The following is a 25,147-nucleotide window of genomic DNA, read 5'->3' as shown; positions in this document are numbered from 1 at the left end:
AGACATATCTCCAAGGAAGACACACAAATAGCCCACAGGTTTATAAAAAGTGCTCAACATCACTAATCATCAGGGAAATGTAAATAAAAACCACAGCGATGTATTACCTCACACCTGTTAGAATGGGTATCACTAAAAAGACAAGATAAGTGTCAGCAAGGGTGTGGAGAAAGTGGAACCCTTGTGTACTATTGGTGAGAATGTAAATTATTATGACCATTGTAGAAAACAGTATGGACTGTCTGCAAAAAACTAAAAATAGAACTATCATATGACCCTACAATCCCTCTGCTGGGTGTATACCCAAGAAAATGAAATCAGCATGCCATAGAGATATCTGCACTCCCATCTTTCTTGCAGTGTTACTCAAAGTAGCTAAGATATGGAAACAAGCTAAGTGTCCACCAATGAAATAGAAAAACTGATAAAGAAGTTGAGATATATGAACTGTTATTCAGCTTTTAAAAAGAAGATACTGCCATATGTAACAACATGGATGAGCCTAGAGGACATTATGCTAAGTGAAATAAGCCACATACAGAAAGAAAACTACTGCATGATCTCACTTATGTGTAGAAATTTTAAAAAGCTGGACACATAAAAACAGAGTAGAATGGTGGTTATTATGGTATAGAAAAGGAGGAAATAGGGATAAACAGGTCAAAGATACAAATTTTCAATTATGTAGGACAAATAAGTCTAGGGATTTAAGGGACAGCATGAGGACTATAGTTAATAATATTCTATTATATACTGAAAATTTGCTAAGAGAGTAGATTTTAGATGCTCTTACCACACACATAAAAGGTAACTATAGAAGGTGATAGATTGATTCGTTTGCTCAACAATAGCATTATTTCACTATGTATATCAAAACTACATGTGTACATCTTAAAATATATAATAAAAAATTCCCTACATCTTTATTTATATTATTAATTTGTTTATTCCAACTTTCACAGATAATCAAAAAATAAATTTCAGTTTGGTTTATGTCTGAATATTCCAAATTTTTTAAGCTTACAATAATCTTGTTAGTTATTAATGTGCATCTTTTTCACAGAGCAAAGTTTATATCAAAAGTGCTTATACCTTGAAACCAAATGAAATGTTTTACTGAAACTGCCTAACTTGACTCTTATCTTAACAGGAGATTAAACATTGAGTTTTCACATTCAGACTGAACTACAGCTACCTAGACTATCTATCCAGAAAAGAAATCCCCATGATAATCCAGTTTCTAAGGGGGTGTCATAGAGTCTGAGCAAGAAGGTCAGACATCAAATAACCTTGCTAAGGTTTCTTTAATTTTTTCCTTGGCTCTCCTTACACCTGCCAGATTGAGGGGAGGAAAATAGTCCTATGGTTACAAGATGATTGCCAAATTATTTGAGCTGCTCTGATAATTATGTAGCTTGACATGTCTTTTAAGTTTTTATCTTGTAGAATTAATGTTTATGTTGTATTCTTCTGAAGCCACCATCCTCTTAACTGGGGTTGGGAATGAGAGTTTTCTTGCCGGAAAAGTAAATACAAATATCTAACTAATTGACCTAGATAACTGTTTCTGAAACTTTATCCCAGTCAACTTCTAAGAGAATGAATTATGTTAGATAGCCAAATCAAATCTTCTAGCCAATTTCTCTTCATTTTAAAATCCTCTGTTCCCCACTATCTCACATTTAAGCCTATTGCTTTATCCCACAACTATGAAGGAAAATTTTATTCAACTCACAAATAAGCTCTCCACTTAAAAAAAAAAAAAAAAAAAAAACCAGAAGGAAGGCAATGCAGTGAGAAGGGAAGCTTTTGGATCCTCTGGTCAGATCCAGCCTTAATACAAGATTTTAGGATTATAGCTCATAGGCGCAACATCTCTACTAGGTGAAAACTAGGATCCTATTTTAGGAATAGGTGTTATCTGTGTTATTTTGTACAAATTCCTTAAGTGCACATAAATATTTAATCTTGTCATCTTTCTATCATTTGAACTGGCATAGTAATACCAGCCAATTTTTTATCTATCATCTCATGGAGCTATGTATAAATATTCAGAGAGACAGAGAGCCCTAATGCCATTTCAAAAAGCTCTAAGAATATTCCATTCCATAGCAGTGTTCAGAAGTAATAAAGTCATATTGAGGTACTAAATGAGACTCAAAATGCCAGATGAGTTGCATAATACCTCTTGCTACTAACCTTTGCTAGCCTAGTGAATATCCTTAAAAAGAAGATAAGTGAAAAAGTAATGTCCTTCAAACCTAGGAAATACAGCAGTAGACAGATTTAATGCAAGGAAATAATATCAAAAGCAAAACTTCTATTTGAAGCAATAAATTAAATTATTATCATTAAATTGAATAGCTAGAAATTAGCTAAAATTTCAAAATAAGGTTCTCATTTTTAAAAATGAAGTGATTAGAATATATCATTGAGAAGATTTTATCCAGTTTTTAGATTCAATGATGATGTCAGGTGTCCCACAAGACAGTATAATATGAGTAAAAGGTAAAATTTTAAATTCTACATTTATATATGGCCCTAAAAATGGTTACAGAGTACTTTTAAAATATCACAACTATGCGGTGGCTCATGCCTGTAATCCCAGCACTTTGGGAGGCTGAGGCAGGCGCATCACGAGGTCAACAGATCGAGATCATCCTGGCCAACATGGTGAAACGCTGTCTCTACTAAAAATATAAAAATTAGCTGGGTGTGGTGGCGTGCGCCTGTAGTCTCAGCTACTCGGGAGGCTGAGGCAGGAGAATTGCTTGAACCAGGGAGGTGGAGGTTGCAGTGAGCCAAGATCATGCCACTGCACTCCAGCCTTGTGACAAGAGTGAGACTCCATCTCAAAAAATAAATAAATAAATAAATAAATAAATAAATAAATAAATCACAACTATGAAGTCTCCAAAGCCAGTCATATTTCTATCAGCATGGCAGTCATTTATATGATTGTCCTGATGCACGACCCAGTTCAATTAACATGTCACTCAACCCTTAGTTCATTTCCACTATAAAAATATAAGTTGATAATATATGCACATGGTGTCTCTGGGACATTTAGTAAAACATAAAATCCTACATTCAAAAACAGCATAGAATATGCTCTATGCTTCAGTGTTTGTGCATGTAAAGAAATAATGATCTGGCCTAGTTTTTAATTTAAAATTAGCGGAGTACCTAGTGATTTAGAATGCACTTCTCCTTGTGCCTTTCACTAAGTAATTCTTTAGCTGATACCTACTTTGGGTAAATTATCCTTTATATTTATACCAGTACTTCAGAATAAATGTTTTAATCTTCAAAGAACTTTATAAAGTGAACAAAATACCTATATCAACATCCTCAAAAAGAAAGGCTTCTGTGCATAATGATTTTCATGCATCTTGCCTATCATTTTGAAGTCATAATAGCAATATTTATAGATTCAAAGCCATTCTCTTTCAAGAATTAAATGGAGACTTCAATTCCAATTGAAAACTGCTGAGGAATTTAACTTTGTTTCATTAATATTCCCTCTTAACAGAAATTCTCATTCATAGCAGAGGGCCAAGCTAAGGTCACCAATTATGACGGCAGAGTAACAGAGACTATTAATGACAGGCAATATTGTAGCTGCCTTAATGCCTGGTGACAGCAATTCATGTCTAGTTGTTAAAGAGATATAAAAGCACACAGTCTGAGGCAAGCAGCTTTCTAAAAGCATCTGCTTGAGCATTCTATTTCATAATGTAAAGACTTCATGATAAGATATGCAAAGGCCTGATGAATGGAGAAAATTTATCCTGGCTAATAAATAAACAAATAAATAAAACCCTCAAATTGCTAGGCAGTTCATTGGGATATTTTGGTTTTGAAGTGAAGAGAATATGTGGTATAAAATCAAGGTGAAATGATTAAGAGACTAAGAAGAATAGAGGTTGAGTGGAATCATTGGTATCTGAATCCAAAGAGACAGTCTTAAAAGCTTTTCCAGAAGGAGTCAAATGCATATTCAACTTAATACCATTCACCATCATTAGTACGGGGGAGTCTTTTTAATACAAAAGAGACACTGCCACATTTCTCACTTAGCAAAAAGTGAAGCAGATTCATGTCATCTTTTTGTACTTTAGTTTCCTCATCTACAAATGAAAACACTTCTCACCGTCCCAAAGTAAAAGTTAATTAAAGTAATAAACAAATATATGATACAGTAGCATCTCAATTTTCCCAAGTATTCTAAAACATTTTTACAAATCATGAACTCAGAAATATTTCCCAAAGTGTCCAAGCATAGGAAGCAACAAAAACAAATAGAAGTAAGTAAAAATGAAATAATTTAAGTAAGATGCCTGACAATTTCACTAATCAAGAAAAAAAAATCACTCCATAGCACGTTGTGATGATTTCATTTATTTAAAGTTAAGTCAAAGAGCAAAGGAACAATGTGTAGAAGGGGGAGAAACGGGATGAGGAGAAGAGAAAGGAGAAGGTAATAAGGAAGAGAAGGAGAGAATAAAGAAAAAGAAAATACAATGTATAAGTCTTAGGATAAATAAATGTAAAAAACTCCAATGAAGTTGAAGTCTAGATTATTGTCCAGCCTTAGACTGTGTCCTTAGGCTTTGTCCCCCAACACATAGGTAGGTGTGTGCTCTAGAACACGGTGTTGTGACTCAGCAAGAGAATGAGGACAGTCTAGTACAGTGAGTTTCAAATTCTTTTGATCATGAAGCATAGTTTTTTTGTTTTTTAATCTAGAATAAAACAAGAGTTTAACAAAGCAATAAAAAGCCTTACCAAATGTGATGGTCTCTAATATAATGTATTAACTTGAATAATGTGAAATTACTGGTTATTTGGTCAAATATGGTAAAATATTGGCAATTTCACATGATTCAAGTAGCTAATACTTCAGATTACTATGTTTTTCCCTTTTTAAATGCTTCTTTTCCTCTCTCCTGCATAGCAATTAGATATGCATGTCGATCTGAAGACTCTCTCCATGTTCTGTGCCTCCTTGGGCATTTTTCTTCACAGATCTTTCTCCTTGTTGCTCCTCTGCTATCTGCCCATTCCATCTCCATCCGCTTTCCTGGCTCCTCAGCCTCCGTATCTCTCCTGGATGTCAGTATTTCCTGTATTTCCTGAGACATCTGTCCAGAGCTCCCTTCTGTGACTTCAATTGCTACATATGTACTTACTCTTCCTATATTCACAACTCTACCCACATCTAGCTCTTGGGCTCAGACCCCTTTGCCATATACATCTACATTTCACTGGGCTATTTGCACTTCACATACAGAATGTCCCACATGAAATCATCTCCTCAAAAACCTGCTGCAGCTTCAGGTTACCTCGGTCTCAGTGACTCAGACCACTTTCCTTGCAGTTGCCTAGCCCAGAAACTGAGGGTGCCATCTTTCCTACCTTGTTGTCTTTCATCACCCTAATGTAGCTACGATAAATTTAAAATGACCTTCCAAATTCATCTAATGTTTTCCATTTCCACTGTTTTATCTTTATTTAAACCACCACCATCTCTTGACTGAATTGGTATGCTAATTGGTATGCTAACTCTAATCTTGCCCCAATCCAATCTATTTACTAATCAATACCAATAGTGACTTTTAATACAAAAACATGATTATCAAATAATCAAATAACTTATGCTTTATAAGGCCCATCAGGCTGTCACTGACCTTTCCTTGTCTCACCACTTTGCTACTCCACAATCTATATTTCAGCAATTCTGAGTTGTCTTCAACTCTCTGAAGTTGCTGCATTCTCCTTTGGGATTGTATACATACTGTTCTCTCTGCCTCAAAACACTCTTCTCCCTGTTCATATCCACCTTTCACCTTGCTAAACTATCTTCATCCTTTAGGCCTCGGCTTAAAAAACCTTTCTGGGCCAGGCGCAGTGGCTCACGCCTGTAATCCCAGCACTCTGGGAGGCCGAGGCAGGCCGATCACAAGGTCAGGAGATCGAGACCATCCTGGCTAAGACGGTGAAACCCCATCTCTACTAAAAATACAAAAAATTAGCTGGGCATGGTGGTGGGCGCCTGTAGTTCCAGCTACTTGGGAGGCTGAGGCAGGAGAATGGAGTGAACCCGGGAGGCGGAGCTTGCAGTGAGCCGAGATCGCGCCACTGCACTCTAGCCTGGGCAAGAGAGGGAGACTCTGTCTCAAAAAAAAAAAAAAAAAACCAAAAGAAAAAAAAACCTTTCTGCTAGAAAGCTATGCTTGACACCCTGGGCAATAGTGGGTAGTTTTCCCAAGAATTGTCTGCAAGATTTTCCTAAGTACTATTCCCAAGATTCCCCTAACATAATTATGCACGACATTTTAATTCTTTTTTTCCTATCTCCCATATTGAAGCACTATTCTAGCATGTCAAGAATCATCTCTTGCAATCTCAATACCTGGAACAGTGTCTGGAATAGTGTAAGTGCTTAACAAATATGTGTTGTGAAAATGAAAGAGATTAATCTTTACAGGACATATTACCAAAATGGAAAGATTAGAACCAGAGGGCCAAATAACCAACAGAGATCTTAAACTTTACTTTTAAAGCCACATAGATGAATTTATCCAATTCTAAATATTTTATTAAAACTCTGAGCCTTTAAATTATATTTTGCTGTTGTTGATTTATAATTACAAACATAACACACTAATTATAAAAATAAACTATTATAAAAATCTATCATGTAGAATATTTAAGTCTCCTATAATTTTCCACACATACCCCACAGATAATCACTATTTACAGATTGATGAATATTCTTTCGGTATTTTCTTTTCTGTGTAACAGGTTTGGTTGAAAAGTCTCAGTTCAGTGACAAGGGTGAAGTTGGCTTTATGTTTTTTGACAAGCTCTTCAATCCCATTCACATCAGGAAGACTGCATTCATCAGCCCAGTGAGTTTCCACATGATATTTGTCTGAGTTGTTTCACTTAAGATAATGGTCTTCAGTTTCATCCATGTCTCTGCAAAAGACATGATTTCATTTTTATGTCTAAATAGTATTTCATTGTATATATCTACCACATTTTCTTTATACATTCATCCATTGATGGACACTTCGGTTGATTCCCTTTCTTTGTCATAGTGAATAGTGCTGCAATAACAAGAAAGGCCAGGTATCAAAAAGATATAATGATTTCTTTTCCTTTGGGTTGAAACCAAGCACTGGAATTGCCAGATCAAATGGTAGTCCTATTTTCAGTTCATTGAGTAATCAATACACTATTTTCCATAGAGGTTATACTAATTTACATTCCCATCAACAGTGTATAAGTGATCCCTTTTCTACACATCCTTGCCAAAATGTTATTTTTTATCTTTTTAATAAAAGCCACCCTGACTGGTATAAGATGATATCTTATAATGGTTTTAATTTATAGTTCTTTGATGATTAGTGATGTTGAGCATTGTTTATATACTTGACCATTTGTATGTCTTCTTTTGAAAAACGTCTGTTCACGTCCTTTGTGCACTTTTTAAATTTTTGAATTTTGTGGGTACATGTTGGTGTGCTGCACCCATTAACTCGTCATTTAACATTAGGCATATCTGCTAATGCTATCCCTCCCCCCTCTCCCCACCCCACCACAGGCCCCGGTGTGTGATGTTCCCCTTCCTGTGTCCATGTGTTCTCATTGTTCAATTCCCACCTATGAGTGAGAACATGCAGTGTTTGTTTTTTTGTCCTTGCGATAGTTTGCTGAGAATGATGGTTTCCAACATGGCACATGTATACATATGTAACAAACCTGCACGTTGTGCACATGTACCCTAAAACTTAAAGTATAACAAAAAAAATTTTGTGGGTACATAGTAGGTGTATATATTTATGGGATACATGAGATATTTTGATACAGGCATACAATGTGTAATAATCACATCAGGGTACAATGGATCTTCATCATCTCAAGCATTTATCCTTTGTGTTAGAAACAACCCAAATATACTCTTTTAATTATTTTAAAATGTACAGTTAAATTATTTTTTACTATAGTCACCCTGTTACGCTATCAAATACTAGGTCTTATTCACTCTTTCTAACTTTTTTTGAACCCCTTAAACATCCCAAATTCCTCCTTCCCCCCACTACCCTTCCCAGCCTCTGGTAGCTGTCCTCCCATTCTCTATCTCCATGAGTTCAATTGTTTTAATTTTTAGCTCCCACAAATAAGTGAGAACATGCAATGTTTGTATTTCTGTGCCTGGCTTATTTCACTTTACATAATGATCTCCAGTTACTTCTATGCTGTTGCCAATGACAGAATCTCATTCTATTTTGTGGCTGAAAAATATTACATTGTTTGTAAGTACCACATTTTCTTTATTCATTCATCTGTTTATAGACACTTAGGTTGCTTCCAAATCTTAGCTATTGTGAATAATGCTGCAATAAACATGGTAATGCAGCTATCTTTTCGATATACTGATTTCCTTTCTTTTGGGTATATACCTAGGAGTGGGATTGCTGGACTGTATGGTAGCTCTATTTTTAGTTTATTTTTTAGGAACCTCCAAACTGTTCTCCATAGTGGCTGTACTAATTTACATTCCTACCAACAGTGTATGAGGGCTGCCTTTGCTCCACATCCTCTCCAGCATTTTTTATTGTCTGTCTTTGAATATAAGCCATTTTAACTGGGGTAAGAGGATATCTCATTGTAGTTTTGATTTACATTTCTCTGATGCTCAATGATTTTGTACAGCTTTTTATATACCTGTTTGCCATTTGCATGTCTTCTTTTGAGAAATGTCTATTCATATCCTCTGTCCATTTTTTAATTGAATTATTAGATTTTTTCCTATAGAGTTGGTTTGTGCTTCTTATATATTCTGGTTATTAATCTCTTGTCAGATGGGTAGTTCTCAAATATTTTCTCCAATTCTTCAGGTTGTCTCTTTACTTTGTTAATTATTTATGTTGCTGTGCAGAAGCTTTTTAGCTTGATGTGACTCCATTTGTCAATTTTTGCTTTGGTTGCTTGTGTTTGTGGGGTATTACTCAAGAAATCTTTGCCCCATCCAATTTCCTGGAGAGTTTCCTCAATGTTTTTACTTAGACATTTCATAGCTTGAGGTCTTAGATTTAGGTCTTTAACACATTTTGATTTGATTTTTGTATATGGTGAGCAATAGCAGTCTAGTTTTATTCTTCTCATATGGATATCCAGCTTCTCCAGCACCATTTATTTAAGAGACTGTCCTTTCCCCAATGTGTATTCTTGGCCTTTTTATCAAAAATGAGTTCACTGTAGGTCTATGAATTTATCTCTGAGTTCTCTATTTTGTTCAACTGATCTATGTGTCTGTTTTTATGCCAGTATAGTGCCATTTTGGTTACTATAGCTCTGTAGTATAATTTAAAGTCAGGTAATGTAATTCTTCTAGTTTTATTCCTTTTGCTCAAGATTACCTTTGGCTATTCTGGAGCTTTTGTGGTTCTGCATACATTTTAGGATTAATTTTTCTATTTTTGTGAAGAATGTCATTGCTATTTTCATATGCATTGCATTAAATTTGTAGATTGCTTTAGATGGTATGGACATTTTAACAATATTGATTTCTCCAATCCATGAACATGGAATATCTTTCCATTTTATTTTGTGCCCTCTTCAATTTCTTGCATCGATGTTTTATAGTTTTCATTATAGAGATCTTTCACTTCTTTGGGTAAGTTTATTCTTGGGTATTTTATTTTATTTTATTTTATGCTATTGTAAATGGGATTACTTTCTTGATTTTTTTTCAGATTGTTCACTGTTGGAGTATGGACATGTTATTGTTTCTCGTATGTTGATTTTGTATCCTGCAACTACTGATTTTTTTATCAGTTCTAGTAGATTTTTTGGTGGAGTCTTTAGATTTTTCCAAATGTAAGACCATACCACCTGAAAGCAAGGATAATTTGACTTTTTTCATTCCTATTTGGATGCCCTTTATTTCCTTCTCTTGTCTGATTGCTCTAGCTAGAACTTCCAGTACTATGTCAAATAACAGCGGTGAAAGTGGGCATCCTTGTTGTGGTCCTAATCTTAGAGGAAAGGCTTTCAGTTTTTCTTCATTCAATATAATACTAGCTCTGGGTCTGTCATATATGGCTTTTATTGTGTTGAGGTATGTTCCTTCTACATCCAGTTTTTTTAAGGATTTTTTTTTTATCATGAAGGGATATTGAATTTCATCAAATGCTTTCTCAGCAGCAAATAAAATGATCATATGGTTTTTGTCCTTCATTCTGTTGATATAATGTATTACATTAATTTATCTGTGAATGTTGAACCATCCTTGCATCCCTGGGACAAATCTGATGTGGCCATGATGAATAATCTTTTTAATGTGCTGTTGAATTCAGTTTACTAGTATTTGGTTGAGAATTTTACATCAATATTCATAAGGAATATTGGCCTATAGTTTTGTTTTTCTGATGTGTCTTTGTCTGGTTTTGGTATCAGGGTAATACTGGCCTTGTAGAACGAGTTTGGACGTATTCCCTCCTCCTTTATTTTTCAGAATATTAATTCTTTTTATAAAAGAAATGATTGAAACTTGAAGCTACTAAAAGAAATTAAGAGTTCTCAAATTAGCAAAAATAAAGGATAATTTTAAAAGATACTTTTTTCTTATTCTCAATCACTTTAATGGATAATAGTATTTTTGCTTTAGACAATATATTCTGAACTTAGAACATGTAAAATAAAATACATGACAACTATAGTACAAAGAATGAGAGAAACAAATGGGAAGTATACAGTTCTAAGATTTTTATACTCCTCATGAAATTGTATATTAGTCTATGATAAACTTAAAATGTGATAAATTAACAATGTATATTTTAAACTCTAGGGCATCCAACTAAAAATTAAGAATAGAGGTATAACTAGTAAGTCAATAATGGAGATAAAATGGAAGCATAAACAGTACTCAAATAATCCATGAGTAGATAGCGAAGGAGGGTAAAGAAAAGGAACAGTTGGAACAAATAGAAAACAACTAGCGAGCTCTTAGACATCATACCAAAACCACAATTCATAGAAAAAAAAGTAAAAATTTTTATCTGCAAAAGACACAATTAAGGTAATGAAAAGACAAGCAAAAGACTAGAGAATATATTTGCAAATCATATCCAACAAAGGATATATATATATATGTATGTATATTTCAGAACATATATTAAAAATTCTCACAGCTCAACTGTAAGAAAACAAATAATCCAGTCTTTAAAATGGGCAAAAAAAAAACTTGAACAGGCATGTCATGGAAAAGGACACAGAGATGGCAAATAAACACATGAAAAAATGTTCAACATCATTAGCCATTTGGAAAATGAAAATTAAACCATGCTAAGATATCATTACTTATGTATTAGAATGGCTAAAATAAAAATTACTGACAATACCAAGTGCCGAGATGGATCCAAAGCAATTGGAATTCTCATACATAGCTTTTGGGGACGTTACATGGTATAGCCACTCTTGAAACAGTTTTACGGTTTCTAATAAATAAACATTTATCATGTGCCCAACAATACTTATCTTGAGTATTTACCTTAGAGAAATGAAAACTTATGTTCACACAAAAACCTGTACCACTGGAATGCTTATAGCAATTCTATTTATAACCACAAAAATCTGGGAGCAAACCAAAAGCCCATCACAGGTGACTGGATTAAACAAAGAAACAAACAAAACACCTGTGATGTATCCATACAATGGAATACTATTCTGCAATTTAAAAAAATACTGATTCACAGAATAACTTGACTGAATCGCAAAGGCATAAGCCTAAGTGGAAGAAACCAAAGATTTCTCAAAAGGTTACATACTGCATGCTTCCATTTACTTAATATTCTCAGGAAGACAGATAGTGATCATAAATAAATCAGTGATTAGCCAGAGATTAGGGGTAGAAGGAAGATGTGACTACAAATGCATTACTCAGGAAAATTTTTTGTAGTGATGAAACTGTTCTGTATCATGAAAACATTGGTAGTTTTTATTTTCAATTTTTATTTTTTATTTCAGCAGTTTTAAAAATTGCTTTTAAAAATACTGGCTCACCAGGCATAGTGGCTCACGCCTGTAATCCCAGCACTTCAGGAGGCCAAGGCAGGTGGATCACCTGAGGTCAGCAGTTCAAGACCAGCCTGTCCAACATGGTGAAATCCTGTCTCTACTAAAAATACAAAAATTAGCCGGATGTGGTGGCGCATGCCTGTAATCCCAGCTACTCGGGAGGCTGAGGCAGGAGAATTGCTTGAACCTGGGAGGCAGAGTTGCAGTGAGCCATGATCGTGCCATTGCACTCCAGCCTAGGAAACAAGAGCGAAACTCCATCTCAAAATAAATAAATAAATAAATAAATACAATAAAAATACTGGCCCTAGAGCAGTGGTGTGATCTTCAGAGCAGCAACATCAGTGTTTCTAGGATGTGTTATATTTTCAGGTCCCATCCAGACATCCTGAATCAGAAACTCTAATTCTGACTCTAGACCCCCACATAGGAATATGTTTTAACAAACTCTCCAGGTGATTCTGATGCACACCAAAATGTAAGAGGCTCTTTCTAAAGAAGCGTTTCTCTACCTTGGTACTATTAACATTTTGGATCAGATAGCTGTTTGTTTTGGGGAGCTATCTTGTGCACTGCAGAAGGGTTAACAGCATCCCCAGCTCTACCTACTAGATGACAGTAGAAATCCATCACCTGTCATGACAATCAAAAATATCTCCACATATTGTCAAATGTCCCCTGGAAAGCACAATTTCTCCTGGTTAAGAACCATGGCCGTAAAGTAAAACCCTATTTACAAAAGTGAGCATTTTCTTTCTACCTTGATGCACATCCATTTTCTTCATTAACTTCCCACTTCCACATTTCTTCTCCTTTGGGCCGAAATACATATGAGACATTAGTTTTTCTATACCATAGTAAATTTCAGTTTCATGAGCAAATAATAAGTTCTGTTAGGAGTGGATGTTAATTAAATGGAAGCTATAATCAGAGTTTATCTCCCAGTTATTTATAGTAGGTGTTCTGTCAGTGAAAAATTTAAGAGTTAGATCCATGATAGCAGAGGATGACTTTTAAAAGCCTGTAAATATAACTCTTAGGTTTGGGGATTTTTCCTGTGCTTTCTGGGAGAAAAGCATAGTGCATAAACTCTCTGTATCCCAAAATATTGCTGGTTACTCTCACTTTGCAGGATACAATTATTCACTAAGATAAATTCAGGTATATATTTCCAAAGCCTGCTCTACTTAAGAGCTGGATTTAAATTGACACCACTCTGGCTAACCAATCTTCTGAGGACAAGCTTTCAGCTGCCTCTTAATCTTGCCTTCTCATTCAGCCTACATTTTGCTATTTTATTGGCACAAAGATCATAAGATACTTTGTCAAGTGCCCTAATAATATAAAGGTACAGTACACCTATTGTTAGGCATTCTTTATCAATCTCATAAGCATATTAATAGTGAAAAGAGAATAATACAGTGACTTACCTGTATTAAGTACTTATTAAGAATAATATACCTGTATTAAGTACTTATTAAGAATAATAAGTACAGTGACTTACCCTGTACTTATGTCTATTGATCCTCTAATTCCTAACAAAAAATCCTGAGCATAAGAACCATGTTATCAACTGTTTTTAGTCCCCAAATCTCCTAACATTGTGACTTGCATATATAACTGGGACTTACGATACTTGTAGAAAGAATTGTCTAAACTCAATGCTTTCAATTCCTTGCCTCTTATTCACTTTACAGTGAAAAGTTTTCCCCCTTACGCCATTTGAACTACTTTTATCAGGGTCTCTAATAACTTCTGCGTTCATTCATTTATTTAAAAATGTACTGCGCACCTACCAAGTACGCAATATTCTAAGAACTATTCTAAGAACTGGGAATACAGCAGTGAACAAAGGAAAGCCACTGACTTCATGGAACATACATTCTTAGAGGCGAGACAGACTTTAAGTGTAAGTAAATAATTTTGTGCAATGGTAAGTACTATGAGAAAAAATATAAAACAAAAACAGTGTGGGGCATGGACATAGGGAGGGGAATATCACACACTGGGGCCTGTCAGGGGGTGGGCGTCTAGGGGAGGGATAGCATTAGGAGAAATACCTAATGTAGGTGATGACGGGTTGATGGGTACGGCAAACCACCATGGCACGTGTATACCTATGTAACAAAACTGCACGCCCTGCACATGCACCCCAGAACTTAAAAGTATTAAAAAAACAGTGTGGGGATAGAAAGTAAATGGAAGACACTAACTTAGATTAAATGATCACAGAAATTCTCTTTGAGGAGGAAAAACTAGACCTGAGCCCAAAATGATGAGAAGGAGTTGTCCACCTGATGATCTGGAGGAAGAACATCTCAGGCAGGGAAAACAGCTAGGAAAAAAAAACAAATGTTATTAATAGAAGAAATGTAAATGTAGTGAACCACACAGGAAACTGTAAGAGGAGAGCACAGAAAGGCATGCAAGGACATATATGATCTTATGGGCCATAGTAAGAAGGGCGGGTTTTATCCTATTTGTAACGCACAGTCATTAGATGGTTTTAAGTAGGGTGACCATATATCTTATTGTCTAAAACATGATTATTTTAAGAGTGAAAAGAACACTATTGATAATTACACCAGGATAAAAGTGATAAACTGGGACTGTAGAGAGCAAACAGAACATATGATTGTCCTAGTGTTAGACCAAGAAAGTTACATGATCTGATTTTTCCTTTTAGAAGTCCAACCTGGTTACTTTGAGAGAAATAGAGAATAGTGATACAAGAGCAAAAATGATAAAACAGGAAGATATGGTCTAGGCATATGAGAACATAAGCTTAGCTTGTACAAATTTATAAAATAGAAATAATTTGTAAATGATAAAATTCAGGGAATATTTTGAAGAAGAGCCAACATACCTTACTGATGAATTGGAAATAACTCTAAAATTTTTGGCTTAATCAAAGAGATGAATGGTGGAGATTTTAATTGAAATGGGAAAGCCCAATGAAGACAAGTTTTTATGCAGATTTGGAAAGCCAGTAAGTTAAGTGCTCTGTTTTGGACATGATAATTTTGAGATAACGGTTGGAAATCTAGGTTTAAATGTTAAAGAAAATTGATTCTGGAGTTTAGCAAAAAAGTTAGGGTTAAAGATACATATTTAGTATTATAGGTGATATTTAAGGACAAACGCCCAGGATTTATCCCTTAAGCACTCCAAATTTAGAGATGAGAAAGAGGAGAAGATACCAGCAAAAGATAAAAAGAGTAAAAACCAATGAGATAGGAGAAAAACCTGGATAACATGGTATTAAGAAAGCAAAGAGAAATGTTTTAAGAAAGTACATTGAACATTGTTGCGAGTTTCACTTTAAATAAAGACAGAATTCTTCAATCTATATGCCGAAGTGTAAGTCATTTGACCATAATAATAGCCAGTTCAATAGAATAATGGGAATGAAGGACCAATTGTGCAATTAATTCTAATAAAATATGCTATAAAAAGAATCAGTGATAAATGGAAGTAGCTGAGAAGAACAAGCATTTCAGGGATATTCTTTCTTCTTGTTGGTGGCTGATATTATGGCATGTTTGAATGATTAGGATTCTGACAGAAACTCATAATGCATAAGAGAGGGCCCTGAACAGCAAAAGGAGATGAGATCCACAGCCTAAGTGGAAACAATGATGGATTTTTCCCTGTATTCTTACTCAGTATATCAGCAGCCATTGACAACTGACTATGCCTTCCTCTTGATAAACACCCTTCTCTTAGCTTCCATGCCTCCACCTTTCCTGATTTGCCTGTTCCTTTCCAGCTGTACCTTTTTAGTGTCCTCATTCCCCAACTTCTAAAAACTGGATACATCCTGAGCTCTCTTGTCTAATTTCTCACACTCATGGGTGTCCTCATTGAGTGCCATTTCCTTAAACACATCTTATATGCTCCCAAATATATGTTCCATTTGTACTCCAAATATACATCTTTAGTCTTGAACTTTCTCCTGAGTTTCAGACTCCTATATACAACTGCCCACTTGATATCTCTACCTAAATGTTTAATGGGCTACTCTAACTTAAACATTATCCAACTCTTGAGTCCTCTCTTGCCTCCTGTACCCAACAAACCTGATTCTACCTGTCTTCCTCCATCATGGGAAATGGCATCATTGTTCAACTAGTTCCTCAGGCCAAAAGACTAAGAGCTACCCTTGATTTCTTTATCTCCTATCAATCATCTGAACTTCTTTGTTCTATCTCCAATATATATGTTTAAGTCATCACTTTTTTCTCTACACTGCCATTACCTTAGTCTAAACCACCATCACTTCTCACATAAGTCTTTATAATGACCTTCTATCTAGTTTTCCTGCCTCCATTCTTCCCCAGACCTACCTTGGAATTTATTCTATACAAAATGTTATATAAATCATGTCATATCACTCTCCTACTGGAAACATTCATGGCTTCCCACACCTCTTGGAATAAAATTCAAATTCCCTTTGTCATTGCATGGTTTGCTCCTTCTCATTCTCTTAGATCAGCTCAAATTTATCTCCTTAGAAAGTGATTTCCTGGGTCAGGTGTGGTGGCTCACACCTCTAATCCCAGCACTTTGGGAGACCAAGGTGGGCAGATCGCTTGAACCCGAGAGGCAGAGGCTGCAGTGAGCCAAGATGCACCATTGCACTTCAGCCTGGACAACAGAGCAAGACTCCACCTCAAAAAAAAAAAAAAAAAAAAAGGTTCAGGACCAACCTGGCCAACATGGTGAAAACCTGTCTCTACTAAAAATACAAAAATTACCCAGGCATGGTGGTGCTCACCTGTAGTCCCAGCTACTCGGGAGGCTGAGGCAGGAGAATCGCTTGAACCCAGGAGGCAAATGTTGCAGTGAGCCGAGATTGCGCCACTGCACTCCAGCCTGGGCAACAGAGCAAGACTCTGTCTCAAAAAAAAAAAAAAAAAAAAAAAAGTCATTATCTAAACACCCTATCTTATCCTCTCACCAAGTGAATGTATTCTCTACCCAGCTTATTTTCTTCATAATATGTACCATAATATGTGATTATCTTCCTGACTCATTATTTTATCTGTTTATTGTGTTTACCCACTTGTCTCTTCCCTTCTCTCCCAACAGCATCCAAAACAATGCCTGGGACAGTCTGATATTCAGTAACCATGTGCTGAGAATAAATGAACAAAAAACTGAACAAATTTGTAAAATAAATTGTTCTTGGAAAACTCATGACTGTTCATCACTTCCTTCTAACTGTTCAAACTAATTATTTTAATATCTATTTTATCATGATAACCATCCATGTCAAGCTCACCTATCATAGATTACAAAATCCAGTGTTCACCTTTTAGAAAGCCAGGAAAACATTTATTCATAATTTGTTTCCCATTTTATTTCTCACAAAATGAAGAACAACAGAGAATTGGTAATTGGGGTGAGTCATGATCTTAAAATCCTTTCAGATCTCTAGGATGTACTTCCTCGGGGCCTACAGACCCGAACTTACTGAAAGAAAGTGTATGCTCCCTATTTCCTCACCTTCCTGAGATTTCAGTTTCTGCATGACACACTATGATCTGCCCTTTCCAATTTTAAGATTTCTCCTCTTCATGTAAAACGAAAGTTCAATTAGAATTGAATCACTCTATTCTAACTCATCTATGAGTATTACATAATGTTCGGCAGAAGGGGTGGGAGGAGGGGGGAGGGATAGCATTAGGAGATATACCTAATGTAAATGACGAGTTAATGGGTGCAGCACACCAACATGGCACATATATACATACGTAACAAACCTGCACGTTGTGCACATGTACCCTAAAACTTAAAGTATAATTAAAAAAAAGAAGTGTTGTCTTGCCCCATGCTCTTCAAAATAGAACTTAGAAGTTTAATATTTCTTTAGCAATTCTGTGAACTTTAGTTTATTCTGAGCTCTAGCTACTCTAAAAAAAAAACAACTTTTATGTTTCCTCTTTATTCATAAGCCTTTTCTTCCATGTGCACACGTGTATGTATTAGATTTGTATCAAAGATTATCTAGTACAGTTATAATAACTTCCATAGGTCTTCTCTTTTTCCCTTTCTTTATATTTTTTCAGGAATTTAAAGCAAAAATATATTTTTTGAACCTTTTATCCCTCATAGCAACGATTTGCTTTTAGAATCCTAAATCACAAGATTGTACTTATTTTTCCTACCAGTTTTTAAATTTTCCCTATACTCCAAGAAGCAAGTATATTAATCTAGCATTCCCTTGCTTTTTTCCATAACATTAAAGCCTAATCTAAGAAAATTCAGTATCTTACTGCTAACACATCTATCTCCAAAAATAATACTATTAGAACAAAGCATATATTACAAAGAGACCCATGTTGCTTTGCTGCTCAAATAAATCAGACAGCAGACACCTTGTGTTATTGGGGAATAGTTGTTACTGAAGTGTAGAAAAATAAAACAGAACATAAAAGAAAAAATCATTTTCTTCTTTCAGTCTTGCCAGAAAGCTGGTGAATTCTTGTCAGTATTTAATGCCCATGACCTGTGATGTAAATGCAATTGGGAGAAGTATCCTCTCAAGAAAGTAATTGTGACACTGGTGCTCCACATCCAAAGGGAGAAAATCCTCCTGCCATCTTTCCTCTTCTCTGGAGGAATAAAATCTAAACATTTGTATCTTATTTAAATTTTGTAGAAATTCACAATGGTGACGATAGGATTCAGGATTTACACCAAGGCTTTATTTTATCCTTTGATGTCTACTTCATATATGGACAACTTAATTTGTAAGTTATAAGTTTCTTGGCACACTAGTGGCTTCCACTCTCTGTTACAAATAGAGTACCTTCCACTTTCCTCCAAGCAAATTTCATGTCTTGCATTTCCCACAGTCTAAGTCACGTGTTTTTCTCTGTGTCATAGCCTTAGAAAGACTCCTATATCAAAAAGGCAGGTGTTATTACTTCCTGGTCTAGAAATCCTTGAGCTTACTAATTCTCATTCAAAGCAGAATGTTATCCCTGGTTCCCACATTTGTACCACTAGATAATCATCTCAAATTTCTATGTTTTTAAATCTTATGACCCCATAAGACTGTCTGTGTCTGACATCTGATATATTTTTGTCCCCAAAGTTTTTCATTAGTTCAGTTTTTAACTTATCAACATTTTTTAACCTGTACTAGTTCATTAGAAATAGAAACTCCTTTTTTTCATCTTGAAAGAGCTATTTACTTTTTTCCAAATATTATCCCAAATAGGTGTTTTACAGATAAGTGTCAACAAGAAGTCAAACATTCTATAAAAGAAAGTCATTTTTACAGACATTAAGAAAAATTTTAACAGACGAAAAAGCTCACATCTATCTAGATGTGTCTATGTTCCATGGGAAATTTTCAGCATCCAAAGTTCAAAGAAAAAATGACTATGGCTTTTCTTACCACACAAAATATTGACAATTTTCTCTTATAGCCTACTCTTTATTGTTAATTGGGATGCCAAAGGACGACATATTGACCTTTAGAAGTTTGGCTCCACTGGACAAGGTTGGGGGTATGGGAGTCAAGCATCAGAATGAATTCAATTTTAAAAGAAAAACTGGCTTTGATCCCAAATGAACCCAAAGTTCAGCCAGCAGCACATTAGAGATAAATACAAGTTGTACTTTCACATTTACAAGGTTGTGCCACTCAACACTATTAAGACCTAATCATCCAAATTAAAGCTACACACACTCCCATCACTAGTTCTGTCCTCAATGTATCCCATTTTTATGAAAGTTCCATGTTATAGCTCAGTTCATAATGGGGAATGAGAACTTCCGGTTCTTAGAAGGAGGCATCCTAAATCCTCTGGTCTAATCCTTTCTTTGCCCTGCCCTCCCACTTTCCACCGTGAGATAAGCCAATCTTATCAGATAGGTACCGTTTCTGTCACTGTCTCATGGAAATTAGTTCTAAATGAAACTAGAGAAAGACCATTCATTCCATGAGCAGCATTTGGCTTTAAGCCAAAGGGATAATAACCCCCTTCCCCAAAAAGAATCACAACCAATTCCATACTAACCCTTCTACTCCTGGAAAGATCTCTCATCTAAAAGTTCCCAACAATGACCAGCACAAGGTACTGATATTATGTGACTCAAGGAGAAGGAAGGGGAGATATATGTAGTTTTATTAAAACCCTCATGCACAATTAAAGTTGATTAAAAGCCTGGAGAACGCTAAAAGTAGTAATGAGTACAGGAGGCTGCAGAGCAGAGAGTACAGGTATGTTCTTTCTTATAGTCAGTCAATGCTGGGAAGTAATAGGCAGATGTGACTTCACTTGAGCATTGGAGAAGCAAAAGAGTTGCCTTGTTGTCCTAGGTTGGTGCAGAGTGTGGCTCAGATTTCACATACTAAAATGGATGTTGCCAATCTGGTTAAAGTCTTTGGCCCTACAGTAGTGGCCCATGCTGTGCCCAGTCCAGACCCAGTGACAATGTTACAGGACATCAAGTGTCAACTCAAGGTGATCAAGCGCCTGCTTTCCCTGCCCCTGGTGTACTGGAGTCAGTTCATGATGGTGGAGCAAGAAAACATTGACCCCAAACACCTTTTCAACACCACAGACATCAGATATTAAAGTGAGTTTACTGGGACCTGTGACCATTCCTGAACATCAGCTTCTCAAGAGTCCTTCATCTAGTCCCCTGTCACAGAGATTCCATTCCACCCTCACAAAGAACACTCCCAGATTTGGGAACAGAAACTCCTCTTTCTACCATCTTGTTTCCTGTAATAATGGAATGGATCTCCAGCCTCACACCTTTTTCTACAGTTCTATTCCTTTTAAGCAAGTTTCAACAATTTCACATGATCCTTAAGTTATACCTGTTCCCTCTCTATCCCAAGAAGTAATAATAATAATATTCATTTCTCGTTGATACTGATTTAATATCCTTTTCATTATTTCTAGCTCTCAAATTTGCTCTTTTTAACTCCATATTCTGCCTTATGGAGTCCTCCACAACAGTGAGAGATATGAAATCATAAAGTGTAAGGTATGCTATGAGCTACAATGTATTGTTCAAATACATTCTACCCTCCTTCAACTTCCTAAGCAGGATGACTCCACACAGTAAATAGCCTTCCATTAGTATAATTTGTAACCCAATGCTTTACTTGTCTATACTGGTCTTGCCCGACTCACTTTTAATATGCTTCATAATTAATGTGCATTCTCATAGAGTTGAAAATTTTATAATTTCATGGCAATGTTTCCCCCAAGAGACTTAAAAATATGTGCTTCCCTACCTGCAGTTACTGCAGTCACCCTGAAACTCATCAAATAATGTCCAAGGTTGGTGCTGAAATTTCCAGCTTAGCCATCTCAAGCCTGTCCAAATTTTCTATAATGACTAGCAAAGTCTTTCTGGTCATCAAAAGAAGACTCCCTAAATGCTCTTGTATTGACTCCCTATCTGCAACTTTCAAAAGATATTCCTTTATTTTTTCATGATCCTTGTAAACTCTGGGTCTAAGGGTGATATATTTTCTTTACCCTATGAACCTATGTACATGGACATATATCTTAATCCTTCTCCCCAAAAGAATTCCTCTCTTCCTTCAGCTAAGGGACATGTCATCCTTCCTTTTCTTTCCATATTTCTTTGTTTCTCTTATGACTGCCAGATTTATAATTATTTTTTAGCTTATTCTACTCTTCCCACGTTTCTAAGCAAATCTGAGTCTTGCAGTCACTGTGTCCCATATGTGTTTCAGATAACCTTTTTAACTTTTAATTTATAAAAATTCCATGGAGTTACTCCTCTCTACCTCAATCTAAGAAATTGACCTAGACTCTGTATAATTAAGGCTAGTATTCTTTATATGTTCCTTGATACATTACACTAAAGTTTTTGTCCCTGAAATGCCCAACTATTAAGTCCATTGGAGCAACACAAAGCTAACAACTCCTTTTAAAGAAAAATAGAAACAAACATATTAGTTTTAATAATTTTATAATAATATTTGACATTAACATTTGAATTTTGTCTGAAGATATACTCAAACAAAAATGTTTCAGCAATACGGCAATTTCTTTTTTTCAGATGGGATTGAAAGTTCGTTCATTCATCTAGCAAATCTTTATTTGCATTCCTCCTAAGGTGTACTAAGCACAGCATTAAGTGATTGTAATATAACAATGCACGAGGCACTGGCGCAGCCCTTGGGACACAGAGAAATAAATAGGCAGAAGCAATTTGCTGTGGTAAATGTTATTAAAGATAAAGTGCAGGATGCCAAAGAAGCACAGAGGAAGCACATCTCATTTGAATGAAGGTGATGGTGTTGCAGGCAAAATAAGCATTGAGCAGGAAAGTGTCTTAAAGGAGCAGAATCTCTAGAATAAGGGCTAAGACGATAAGCAGGTATCAGAAACATGAGATAACAAAAGGAAGGCAGGCAGGCAAAATGTTCCACAGCCACATAAAACACATGCAGTCCTAGAAAGAAAGGAGGAGGGAGGAGAGCAAGAGAGCTCAGGAGAACAGAACATCCTATCTGACTGGAGGACTGAGTGAACTGCAGAACAGTGATTAGATCCAGATAATGAAGGAATTTTTATTTTATCCTGAGAACATACGAGAGTCATGAACATATTTTTAGAGGGACAGTGACACAATTACACGAAGATTCCTCTCATTGCAAGAGAAATGATAGAAATCAAATTGAATTGCAGGTAGGCTGGAGGCAAGGAGGCCCATTAGGAAACTGTGGCAGGCACCCAGGTAAGCAATGAAAGCAGCCTGGACTAATTGCACAGCCACATTAATAGAGACAAGTGGATGGATTCTGTTGTGAGGTAGGTATGTCAATGGGAATTTGTGATGGGCTACAGGTGGGGAGAGAGAAGACTGTCAGTCACTAATGGCACCTTAGTTCCTAACTGAAACAACCTGGTGAAGACAGGTGGCATTCACTAAGAATATAAATACCAAAGAGAAACAGATAAGTCACAGAAGATCACTATTAGTTTCTAAAGAGGTAAAGAGGGACATTATTTTTCACTCAGTACCTATTTCTATAAACGTGATAATTATATTGGCAAGGTTGTTGTAAGAACGAAAATGAGAATACATTTAGGAAAACCACATGACACAGTGCCTTAATGGCATACAAAAACTTCTTGTTAATGTCTTAGAATCATTACTTTGATATCTGTAAAAAATATACTTTGGCCAAATGTTTGTTTTGTAATGCTTAGCATTGTTTAAGATTTCAGGACTATTTCAAACACTTCTAAACAATTTGAATTTAAGTATCTACAAAAGAAAGTATTTTCCCACCTATAAACTTTTTTAAAATACAAAATTTCTTATCAACGATCTTTAAAATAAAAGTATGGAGTTATCTACTTTGTTCCAGGAGATGCGTGGGGATATTATAAATCAGAGGTGAACAAAAGAATCCCACTGTGAAGGATGTTAAATAAAAGACAAACAGATAAAAAATAAATGTGATTATAGGCATATGCACTGGTTGGTGCAGAAGTGCAGAAAAGGACCACCTATTCCTATCTGGGAAGGGTGTGGGTGGTCAGCTGGGACCTACCAGGGAAGATGGCATTTACCTGAGCTGAGTCAAGAAGGACAAGTAGAGGTTTGCTGGAAGAGGAAGAGGGGAAATGGTATACCAGTCAAACAAAAGATCATTGCAAAAGTGAAACAAAATGAAAAAACTTTTACTTTGGTGGAGATGAAAAATGGTGAGAGAAATAGAAAAAATAATAAATAAAAAATGGCACTTACAATGTTTCCATCCTACAAGATCAAAATAATTCTTGTCGTAAAATGCGCAAACGGTCTGACGTGCCTGACGTCCAGGCATTCTTTTACACATCGGTCCCTCCCTAGTCTCTGTGCCCAATGCAACTTGTCCCAAATCTTCCTTCTTTCCCTCCCGCCTGTCCCCTCAGTCCCAACCCCAAGCGTCGCTGAGTCTAATCTTCCTTTTCTACAGACCCATCTGACCTCTCCCCTCCTCCCCAGGCTGCTCCTCGCCAGGCCGAGCTAGGTCCCAATTCTTCCTCAGCCTCTGCTCCTCCACCCTATAATCTTTTTATCACCTCCCCTCCTCACACCTGGTCCCGCTTACAGTTTCGTTCCGTGACCAGCCCTCCCCCACCTGCCCAGCAATTTCCTCTTAAAAAGGTGGCTGGAGCTAAAGGCATAGTCAAGGTTAATGCTCCTTTTTCTTTATCTGACCTCTCCCAAATCAGTTAGCATTTAGGCTCTTTTTCATCAAATATGAAAAACCCAGCCCAGTTCATGGCTCGTTTGGCAGCAACCCTGAGATGCTTTACAGCCCTAGACCCTAAAAGATCAAAAGGCCGTCTTATTCTCAATATACATTTTATTACCCAATCTGCCCCCGACATTAAATAAAACTCCAAAAATTAAATTCCGGCCCTCAAACCCCACAACAGGACTTAATTAACCTCGCCTTCAAGATGTACAATAATAGAGTAGAGGCAGCCAAGTAGCAACATATTTCTGAGTTGCAATTCCTTGCCTCCACTGTGAGACAAACCCCAGCCACATCTCCAGCACACGAACTTCCAAACGCCTAAACCGCAGTGGCCAGGCATTCCTCCAGGCCTGCCTTCCCCAGAAGCTTGCTACAAGTGCCAGAAATCTGGCCACCAGGCCAAGGAATGCCCGCAACCCAGGATTCCTCCCAAGCCTCGTCCCATCTGGGCGGGACCCCACTGGAAATCAGACTGTCCAACTCACCTGGCAGCCACTCCCAGAGCCCCTGGAACTCTGGCCCAAGGCTCTCTGACTGACTCCTTCCCAGATCTTCTCGGCTTAGCGGCTGAAGACTGACACTGCCCAATCGCCTCAGAAGCCCCTAGACCATCACGGACGCCGAGCTTTAGGTAACTCTCACAGTGGAGGGCAAGTCCATCCCCTTCTTAATCAATACGGAGGCTACCCACTCCACATTACCTTCTTTTCAAGGGCCTGTTTCCCTTGCCTCCGTAACTGTTGTGGGTATTGACAGCCAGGCTTCTAAACCTCTTAAAACTCTCCAACTCTGGTG

The 25,147-nt window shown here is 36.5% G+C and overlaps 2 long non-coding RNA genes across 2 annotated transcripts in view; both read right to left on the bottom strand.

Annotated features, from left to right (window-relative positions):
* Window positions 1-25,147, bottom strand: part of LOC105370476 (uncharacterized) — a 166,495-nt gene that overhangs the window by 46,278 nt on the left and 95,070 nt on the right. The window lies entirely within an intron of this gene.
* Window positions 6,576-14,319, bottom strand: LOC124903308 (uncharacterized). Its single transcript, XR_007064138.1, has 2 exons — window positions 14,304-14,319; window positions 6,576-6,984 (listed from the first exon to the last, which is right to left on the bottom strand). It is a non-coding gene; the product is annotated as an uncharacterized LOC124903308 (long non-coding RNA).

The sequence above is a fragment of the Homo sapiens genome, chromosome 14 (assembly GCF_000001405.40).
Source record: "Homo sapiens chromosome 14, GRCh38.p14 Primary Assembly".
Taxonomy (NCBI): domain Eukaryota; kingdom Metazoa; phylum Chordata; class Mammalia; order Primates; family Hominidae; genus Homo; species Homo sapiens.
This window is presented reverse-complemented; position numbering and strand designations above follow the sequence as displayed.